At 49.8% G+C, this 10,563-nt stretch overlaps 1 pseudogene, besides 1 other annotated feature; it reads right to left on the reverse strand.

Annotated features, from left to right (window-relative positions):
• Positions 5,853-9,865, reverse strand: CYP2A7P1 (cytochrome P450 family 2 subfamily A member 7 pseudogene 1; annotated as a pseudogene).
• Positions 8,257-8,785: an enhancer, noted in NCBI's record as "H3K4me1 hESC enhancer chr19:41532560-41533088 (GRCh37/hg19 assembly coordinates)". NCBI's record gives its function as "activates a minimal SCP1, AML or CMV promoter by ChIP-STARR-seq in naive and primed H9 embryonic stem cells {active_cell/tissue: H9 hESC(naive and primed)}" and the evidence as "EXISTENCE:reporter gene assay evidence [ECO:0000049][PMID:30033119]".

Consider the following 10,563-nt stretch of genomic DNA (forward strand, 5'->3'; position numbering starts at 1 on the left):
GAGGTGATCTGTGCCATTTTGTGTGTGATTCTTTTATTGTCGGGTCTCTAGGGATTTTTCTGGAAGGAATGTTGGTGAGAATGCCTCTCTCACCTCAATGCCAACTCTGTGAAGGGCCAAACCATTGTCTTGCTCATCCCTGTACTCTCAACACAGCGTGTGGCATATGACAGGTGTTCAAAATATTTGGTGAGGAATGAATGAATGAGTGGCTAAATCAGCCACCCCCTACCCCCACAGCCCACCCAAAATGGAGCTAGGCCTCCTCCATCAGACTATATCTCCTCCATATCCCACTTTCTTGTGAGGTCCAGAATAAATTCTCATCCCCAAAGGGCCCAGGATGCCCCCATTCTGCCTACCAGTTACTCTCGATACCCCGTGCTGCAATGCCACCTTTTGATAAAGCTTAGCGCTATTCTTGCAGTGGAACCACTCTAAATCCAGCCTCCAGGCTGGACGCGGTGGCTCATGCCTATAATCCCAGCACTTTGGGAGGCCGACGCGGGTGGATCACTTCAAGTCAGGGGTTCGAGACCAGCCTGACCAACATACAAAAACCGTGTTTCAACTAAAAAAGATACAACAATTACCCGGGCATGGTGGTGTGCATCTGTAGTCCCATCTACTCGGGAGGCTGAGACAGGGTGATCGCTTGAATGCAGGAGGGAGAGGTTGCAGTGAGCCAAGTTCCCGCCACTGCACTCCAGCCTGGGTGACAAAGTGAGACTCCGTTTCATAAATAAATAAATAAATAAATCCAGCCTCCAAACATTCCACCAGCAGGACCACCACCCTTCCCTGAGGGAGGTGCTGCAAGTTTAATATCATTATCACAAGGATACATCAGCCAGCCTGTGGCCAGTGGGAAGCTGGCCCTGGGACTCCACCCTGAGATGCTAACCTTTTGGCGTCTGCAGCATCTGCCATCTTTGGGCTCCTTGTAGCCTCTGAAGAGTTAACAGAGACTCTGCCAGTACAAATGCATGGCACACATTCCCTCACCAACCACAGAAATAACAAACAGAGCAACATGTCTTTTAAGAGCGACAGCAGAATGGAAGGCGGGAAGAATGAGGACCACGGTGCCCTCAGCCTTCTCACTCCTCATTGTCCCCAGTGGCCTCTTGCTACTCTGGTTCTGGGGCCATCCCACCTCCCAGGGCTGCCTCTCTCCTAGGCCCTGGCCTCTGCCCTTCCTGGGGGAGCATTTTGCAAATAAACCACAGGGCTTTCTGAAGTCTGTCCAGGTGGTGAGATGGGAGAGTGTGGAAGGGATGGAAAAGGAGGAGGTGGGTAGACGGGAAACAGCTCACAGGCAGCAAGGCAGTTGGGGTCGTACTTTGGGTGGGATTCCACAGACAAGCTTGGGAATTCCTTTCTGGCTTATATATTAACTACAGAAGCTTCTGGAATTTTATAAGGTGAAATGGAGAGGAGACAGACTGGAGGGTGAAATTCTGATAGACTTGAGGCTTTGAGATGTGGTCCTGGGGTGGAGCAAGACAAGAAAAGTACTGGAGATTGGGGTTTGAGGAGTCTATGCAATTATTTTTATTTTTAAAAATCTTTGTGGCTACATAGCAGGTGTATATATTTATGTGGTAAGTGAGATATTTCGATACAGACATACAATGTATAATCACAGGCATACAATGTAGACAGGCATAAAGTGTATAGTCACATATAATAATAACATCATGGTAAATGGGGTAACCATCACCTCAAGCACTCATCATTTCTTTGTGTTACATTAGAGTTATATTCCCTCTGTTATGCTAAAATGTACCACAGGCTGGGCACAGTGGTTCATGCCTATAATCCCAGTATTTTGGGAGGCTGAGGCAGACAGATTGCCTGAGCTGAGGAGTTCGAAACCACCCTGGGCAACATGGTGAAACCCTGTCTCTACAAAAATACAAAAAAAAATTAGCCAGGCATGGTGGCATGCATCTGTAATCCCAGCTACTCTGGAGGCTGAAGCGGGAGAATTGCTTGAGCCTGGTAGGTGGAGTTTGCAGTAAGCCAAGATTGTGCCACTGCAGTCCCGCTTGGGTGACAGAGTGAGACTCCATCTCAAAAAAATAAACAAGCAAACAAACAAAAGTACAATGAATTATTGCTGACGGCCATCACCTTATTGTGCTATCAAAAACTAGATCTTATTCATTGTATCGAACTCTATTTTTGTACCCATTAGCCATCCCCAGTCCCTCACCTCCACCCTTCCCAGTCTCTGGTAACCATCATTCTACTCTATCTCCATGAGTTAAATTGTCATAATTTTTAGCTCCCACGAATGAGTGAGAATGTGCAAAGTTTGCCTTTCCGTGCCTGGCTTATTTCACCTAACATAATGTCCTGCAGTTCCATCCATGTTGCTGCAAATAGCAGGATATCATTCTTTTTTAATGGTTGAATAGTACTCCCTTCTGTATGGGCACCATATGAACACTTAGGTTGATTCCATAACTTGGCTCTTGCAAACAGAGCTGCAAAATACACTGGAGTGCAGATATCTCTTCAGTATACGGATTTCCTTTTTTTTGATATAGATTTAGCGGTGGGATTGCTGGATTGTGTGGTAGCTCTATTTTTAGTGGTTTTCTTTCTTTTTGTTTGTTTATTTTATTTCTTTATTCATTTTTTTTGAGATGGAGTCTTACTCTGTCACCCAGGCTGGAGTGCAGTGGTATGATCTCAGCTCACTGCAGCCTCCACCTCCTGGGTTCAAGCGATTCTCCTGCCTCAGCATCCTGAGTAGCTGGGACTACAGGCACCTGCCGACACGCTTGGATGATTTTTGTAATTTTAGTAGAGATGGAGTTTCACCACGTTGGCCAGGCTGGTCTTGAACTCCTGACCTCAGATGACTCGCCCACCTCAGCCTCCCAAAGTGCTGGGATTACAGGCATGAGCCACCGCACCTGGCCTATTCTACTTTTTTTTTTCTTTTTCTTAGGGAAACTCCATGTTGTTCCTCAAAGTGGCTCTATTAATTTACATTACCACCAACAGTGTACAAGGGTTCCATGGGGATTACTTCAGATTGAGTGGTCAGAGAGGGCTCCTTTGAGAAGACTTCTGAGAATTGGCCATGGGAAGGTGTGGGGAGAAGCCTTCTCAGCTGAGGGAACAGCAAGGTCAAAGACCCAGAGGTAAGAAAGCAAGCTTGGAACCTTCCAGGAGCAACAAGGCATTGGCTCTGATAATGCCTTCTCCTGCTAAAATGACAGCTCTAGGAAGGCAGGGTTCTTATTTCCTGTCTATCTATCTATCTATCTATCTATCTATCTATCTATCTATCTATCATCTATCTATCTATCATATATCTATCTATCCGTCTGTCTTTATTTATTTATAGAGGCAGAGTCTTGCTCTATTGTCCATTGTATTAGTCCATTTTCATGCTGCTGATAAAGACATACCGTAGACTGGGTAATTTATAAAGAAAAAAAGTTTAATAAACTCACAGTTCCACATGGCTGCGGAGGCCTCACAATCATGCTGAAAGGCAAAAGTTGCGTCTTACATGGTGGCTGGCAAGAGAGAGAATGAGAACCAAGAGAACGGGGTTTCCCCTTATAAAACCAACAGATCTCATGAGACTTATTCACTACTATGAGAACAGTATGGGGGAAACCACCCCTATGATTCAATGATCACCCACCGGGTCCCTCCCACAACACGTGGGGATTATGGGAGCTGCAATTCTAGATGAGATTTGGGTGGGGACACAGCCAAACCATATCACCAAGGCTGGAGTGCAGTGGTATGATCATGGCTCATTGCAGCCTCCAACTTCTGGGTTCAAGCAATCCTCCCACCTCAGCCTCCTGATTAGTGGTGACTACAGGTGTGTGACACCACCTCTGGCTGGCTTTTAAATTTTTTGGAGAGATGGAGTCTTGCTATTTTGCCCAGGCTGGTCTCAAACTCTTGGTCTCAAATGATCTTCCCATCTTGACTTCCCAAAGCACTGAGATTACAGGTGTGAGCCATTGCACCTGGCTGGTTCTCATTTATTTAAGTATTACTGCTGTCATGGTTTGCTTTGGTCCCTGTGGGTTCCCCCACCCTTTGAAACAAGTGCCTGACACATGGTAGGGTTCACAATAAATATTTGTAGAATAAATAAGAGCTGAGCCTTCAAGGGGTCCAAAATACTTGCACGGAGTTTTTCTAGGTGGGCACGATGCCACCCAGCTGCAGGACTATTTCAGGGTGTTCATTGGCTCCTCTGGTTGATCTTTTGATGCCTGTATAAGAACTCCCACTTCTCCAAATCTGGGGGCCACATCTTTAGAGTTCTCAGCTTTCTGTCTCTCAGGAATGAAGGAGATAATATCACTGATTGGAGCCAGATTGTCTGGATGTTGAATCCCAGCTCCTTGCTGGTGCCTTTGAGAAGTGACTTTAGCCCTCCATGTGCCTTATTTCTGCCTCTGTAAACGGAGATCATCATAGCACCTCTCATGTGGGGCTGTTTGACGATTCGGTGAGGTATGTGCAAAGAGCTTTTTGCACTTGCAAAAAGTGTCTGGGATATCATTGTGTGCTGTAAGAATGAGCTGTAATGATTATCACTGAGACTTGTTGTTGGGATTAAAAGAGATCAGGTCTGTCAGGGCCTGGTACACAAGAGGTACTAGAAAAATAATGGGAGGTTTAGGTGCTCCTTCCTCCAGATACACTCGTAAATATGACTGCTGTGTCGTCATCTACTTTTTAGGGATATGAAGAATCTGCTGTGTGACCTTAGATGAATAAATCTCTGATTCACTCTGGGCCTTGGTTTTCCCTGCCTCTGAAAGGGGTATGATGTTTCCTTCCCTTTTGCCTGGGCGCAGGTACTGGGTGCTTTGTAGTTAAGGGAGTATCAGCTGGTGGCTCAAGGGTAGATTCTAACAGGAACTTCCAAGCTGGAGAAATACTAGGCTACACCTCAGAGAGGGGAGGTGGGTAAGGGAGGCCCCTGCTGGTGTGAGCAGGAGGTGGGTGAGGGAGGCCCCTGCTGGTGTGAGCTCGATCCTTTATCCCTGAGCTTCAGACTCTCTTAAGCCTTCCCACATGAGAAACTGACATCCAGATGGAGGTGGGGACCCTGCAATGTAAAGCCAGGTCACCTGTCCACAGAGGTGTGTCTGATAACCAGGGCATGATAGGTTAGAGAGTGTGGTGGCTAAAAGCACCAGCCCTTGGATCACCTGAGGTCAGGAGTTCAAGACCTGCCTGGCCAACATGGTGAAACTCCATCTCTACTAAACATACAAAAATTAGCTTGGTGTGGTGGTGGGCACCTGTAATCCCAGCTACTTGGGAGGCCGAAGCAGGAGAATCACTTGAACCCAGGAGGCAGAGGTTGCAGTGAGCTGAGATTGCGCCATTTCACTCCAGCCTGGGTGACAAAAGCGAAACTCTGTCTCAAAAAAAGCACCAGCCTTAGACTCAGAGAGACCAGGATTTGAGCTTGGGGGACCTCAGCTTCCTCTCTGTGTGACCTCAGGTAAGCCACTTATACTCTTTGGGCCTCAGTTTCCTCATTTGTAAAATTGAGGCCGTGATTGAACCTCCTTCAAGAGCTGTTGTGAGTGCTATAGGGGATACTATCTTAAAGCACTTAATGCAGTGCCTGGCACATGGTAGTTCTGTAGAAGTGCTTGCTATTTTAATTCACGTGCACAGGTCCTGCCTGTGGGTGAGGGCTCAGTAGATGGAACAGCGATGGTTGATATAGTTGGGATTGTGAGGATTATTATGACAGGGGCTAATTTGAATGGGCCTGTGTTGTCTGCCCTCCCCACTGCCAGCCTGATTTCCCTCTGCCTGGCTTTGCAGCTCCTCCCATTGGCTGCTGGGGTGTACCCCTTGCATGCGGATGAGAAACGAGTCAATGAAGTCCCGTGGGGAATTGGGATCCAGCGTGCACTGGTTGTGCTCCACTTTCTTGGCAATGAAGTCCTCCAGCCCTTGCAGCTCCTTAAAGGCCTGTTGCTGTGGTCCTGGCAGGTGTTTCATCACCGAAGAGAACATCTCATAGAGCTGGGGTTGCAGAGAGAGGATGGGAAGGGAAGGACCGCTGTCAGGAGGCAGGAACTGATGGGAATGGGACCTGTGTCAGAGCAAGAAAGGCACTGGGTTAAAGGCACCTACCTGCCCAGGTGTTTAGGTATTTCAGTGGGGCTGGATGGGAACATATATGTAAGTCTTCATGAGGGTTAAGTGAGAAGGCTACTGTCCAGAAATTTAGGTAACATGGACTGAGGCACACATCCAGGTTTCAATGAAGGTGGATTGGAGCGCACAGCTAGGTGTTCAGACATTCAAGGCAGGATGTGTTGGAAAACACCTGTTCAACTGTTTAGCTACTCAGACGGGGCTGGTATGAGGGGAGTGTCACCTGTCTAGGTATGTAGGCATTCAGGTGGGCCTGGTTGAAGACAACTACCGAGATACTTATTGGGTCTGGATTGGGGGCTTTTGTTCAGATGTTCAGGTATTAAAGTGGGGCTGGTGAAGATGTTGAAGAGGAGGGGATACCTGTTGAGGTGTTTACCTATCCAAGTGGGATGCACTGGGGGCACCTCTGTAAGGTGTGTGATTGGAAAGGGTTGGGGAACACTTATTTGGGTGTCTGGGGAATAATCTGTCTAGATATTTATGTGTTTAGGGTATTGGTTAGGGCACCTGTCCATGTTTTCAGGTATTTAAGTGGGTGAAGTAGAGGGCGCTTGGCCAGATATTCCAGTGGGCTAATCTGGGACATTTGTGTAGATGTGAAATGATTATGATGGGCTGGATTTTGCAGCACCAGGTGTTCAGGTATGCAGGAGGCGGGTTGAGGCAGTCACTTGTCCAGGTGTTAAAATATTCAGAAGAACTGGGTAGGGAGCATCTGTTAGAAATTATGGTAAGTTGGGGATGGGAACATGTGCCCAGGTGAGAGAGCTGAGCTGAGGGTATGCATCCTGCCTTCAGGCTCTGTTTTGGGGATCATCTGTTGAGCTATCCAGGTGTCCTTGGAGACTGGGTATTGGGCACCCATCCTGGGTTCTGGTGCAACTTTCCGGTTGTCCAATATTGGGGGCTGATTTTGAGGGGACACTGTCTGGAGGGGGGTGGGAGTTTGGGGCACCTGTCCCCATGTAGGGGAGCAGTTGGCAGGTTGTGGTAGGGGCGTGACAGCCAGGCTGCAGCCGGTTACCTGCCCCGTGGAGGGTGCCGTGAACTGGAAGCTTTCCAGCATCATGCACAGCAGTGACAGGAACTTTTGTCCTCATAGTCAAAGCGGTCCCCAAAGACAATGGAGCTGATGACATTGGAGGTGGTACGGCTTAGGAAGAAGGTGGGATAGATGCTGGAGCTTGCGGGTGTGGCGGTGTATTGGGGGAGAAGGGGGTTGGGAAGAGAGTCAACTCAGAGCTCTGATGCTAGTCTGAGAATTCCAGGAGGCACTGCCCTGATGAGCCACATTCCCAGCGCCAGACTACAGGGCTGGGAGCGCGGGCGCCTTTCCCCACCAAGGCCCGGTCCCCAGACAGAACGCGCGCGGGTTCCTCGCCCTGGGCGTTTTCCTTCTCCCGCCTCCACACTCGGGGTGTTCTGCTCACCGCGCGTGCCCTAGACGGCCTTGATGAGGAAGCCCGCCTTCTCCTGGATACCTCCTTGATGCCGCGCTTGCCCACCCCGAAGTCCCGCAGGGTGGCGATGGAGAAGCGCCTGAGCGGCTTGGTGCGCTCCCAGGTGCGGCAGGTCACTCCTGGGAGAGGAACGCAGGGGTGGGGAGAGGTCAGGCCGTGGGAACAGGCACAGAAGCCTCGCGCAGGAGAACTGCAAACTCAGTCAGAGAAACACAGAGAGAAACAGAGACCGAACAGGAACAAGAGGATCAGAAAAGAGACAGGCCAGACAGACAGATGCACAGCAGAACAGAGGGAGACGGGACACTCCATGGAGCATAGGGAGGGAAGGAGGGAGAGAAAAAGACAGAGATGGGAGAAGATGATGGAAGGGGGGGAAGTGAGGTATGGGGAGATCTGCGAGGAGAAAATAAAAATGGTGAAAGAGTCTTTTTTGTTTGTATGTTTGTTTATTTGTTTTTGAGACGGATTCTCGCTCTGTCGCCCAGGCTGAAGTGCATTGTCGCCATCTTGGCCGCTCGCTGCAACCTCCACCTTCCAGGTTCAAGCGTAAAAATGGTGAAAGACTCCTAAGCTGAGCTGGTGAAGACAGAAAACTACGGAAAGAGAAACAGAGACGGTCGGGAAGGAGGAGAGACTGTTATCAGGAGAGGAGGCTGGAGATGTGGAAGTAGGAATACCGCGAAATCCTAAGACAGAGGAAGAAGAAGGAGAGGTCAGTGGACAGAGGAGAAACTCAGAGAAGCACAGAAGCTGAGAAGGACAAAAAGACAAATGAAGACAGAGAACCAGGGTTGGAAAACAGAAACCCAGGATTGTCCTCAGAGATGGGGAAAGAGGAGACTCCAGTGAGAGAGGCAGGGAGAAATCTGGACAGGGACAGGGACAGGGATGCTGGAGACAGGCAAGAGGGAGAGGCCGCAATGAAGGGAGCTGGGGAGCGAAGGCCAGACAGGGGGCTCTGCCGCAGCCTTCAGTGGGCAGGAGAGTCAGGGAGAAGGCTGGGGACACGGAGGCCATCGAGTCGGCCTGGCCACCTTCCCCCTCTTGGGCACCCCCTCACCATAGCCTTTGAAGAGCCAGTCGAAGGTGGCCTGCTCGCCTCGCCCGCTGAACTCCTCAGCCTGGTCCACCAGAGCCTCCTTGACGGCATCATGTCCGCACAGCACCACGACCCGCCGGGGCCCCAGGTGAATGGTGAACACGGGGCCATAGCGCTCACTGATCTGATGGAGGCAGGTGGGAGTGGTTAGAGGGAGCAGCCCCCACTCTGAATGGGCGCAGCACCGAGATATCATGTACTGGGATGTTTTGCCCCCAGGTTCTCACAGTCAGGGAGCTGGACATCCCAAGATCCTGTCTTTCCAGCCTAGGACCCTGATGCTGAAACTCCAAAACTCCCTTTCCTAAGACTCTGGTCCACACTGGTCAATCCCCTGCCACAAAGCCTCAGCCAACTGGGCAGCCCCCACCCCGTGCCACCCATCTCCCTGCCTTGGGACACCTTCATGATGGAGTCACATATGTGCTCTGTGTTCAGCTGCAGGTAGTTTCCAATAAAGAGCAATGGGGTGGGTCCCAAAGGCAGCTTCCCCCTGCTCTTCCTCTGCTGCCAGACTGACATCAAGACCATCACAGTCAGGCTGGCCAGCAAGGCCACCAGAAGCAGCCCTGAGGCCAGCATGGTGGCAGTGGAATGATAGATGGTGACGGCTGGGGTGGTTTGCCTTTATACTGCCTGAAAAAAAGGGGTGGACTTTGGCTGGTTATAAAATCACCTCATTTCACCTCCCAACTACATCCTCTCCGTGAACCCCACCTAGCTTTGGACACAACCAGCAAAGGAGGAGGAGGGGGACCCCAGGGAAGCTGAACAGAGAGGGTACCTCCCGACTAAATCTGTGGTACCTCAGGAGGGGTGCCCCAGGGCTGTGGATTTAGGAGCGGGCAACAGATAAGCTGTAGAACAAAGGAGTTGGGAATATTTGCATAGGGGAGCACTTGGGCTTTGGATTTGGGATCTGGGAGTGAGAATGCACCCCAAAATTGTGGATTTGGGGGTTCCGAGGAGAAGAATGCAAAGGTCTGGGTTTTATTAGGGTGAGATGGAAGTGTGGCTGTGCATCTGGGGGTCTTCTGTTGTGGAGGATGCAGGGTTAAGGGTCTCAGGAGGGGGGATTCCAGGCATATGGACTTGAGAGTCTTGGGGCTAGGAAGACCCAGGGCTGTGGGTGTGGAGTTTCTGGGAGGAGGAGTGTGTAGCAAGCCCAGTAGGTCGTCCCAGAAAGCCCAGCAGCCCAGCACTGGGCCCAGGGGCTGACTTGATTTTGCTTTTGCCCAGAGCTGTCTCTTGATGCCCGGAATCCTCACTGGAACCTCAGAGTGAGGCCAGGATGGGTGCCATGGAAACTCCACTGACCATCTCTGGTTGGCAAAGGGGTGGAAGACCAGAGCCATATTTCAAGGGAAATTTCCACACACCTGGAGAAGAGTACCTTGTGTTATCAGTTGGCAGAGGGATTGGCCAGGTCTGGAGAAATAGTAACAACAACCCCCAAATGGTGGAAAAAGCTCAAGTGTCCCAAGGGTTGTAATTTACAAAGACCTCCACTGGTTTCCAACCCAGATCCTTAGGGAAACCCACTAGATTGATTGTATCATCCCTATTAATATTATGATTGTTGTTTATCTTTCTCATTTTATATAAGGGTCTACAGAGGACAGAAAACAGACAGTAGGCAGGGGACATGCATGAGTGGCCCTGAACTCCCATCTCTCCTGCTCTGAGTACTTAGTTCCCCTTTCTGGATTTGGTTTTCCCACCAGTAGAAAGGGAGTATTTAGGAAAAGATCATATTTGAGGGTGAGTTAAGTCTCCTTTAAGGGCGATTCCTGCTTTGTCAGGGGCTACTACTATTAGCAG

This window comes from Homo sapiens, chromosome 19 (assembly GCF_000001405.40).
Source record: "Homo sapiens chromosome 19, GRCh38.p14 Primary Assembly".
NCBI lineage: Eukaryota > Metazoa > Chordata > Mammalia > Primates > Hominidae > Homo > Homo sapiens.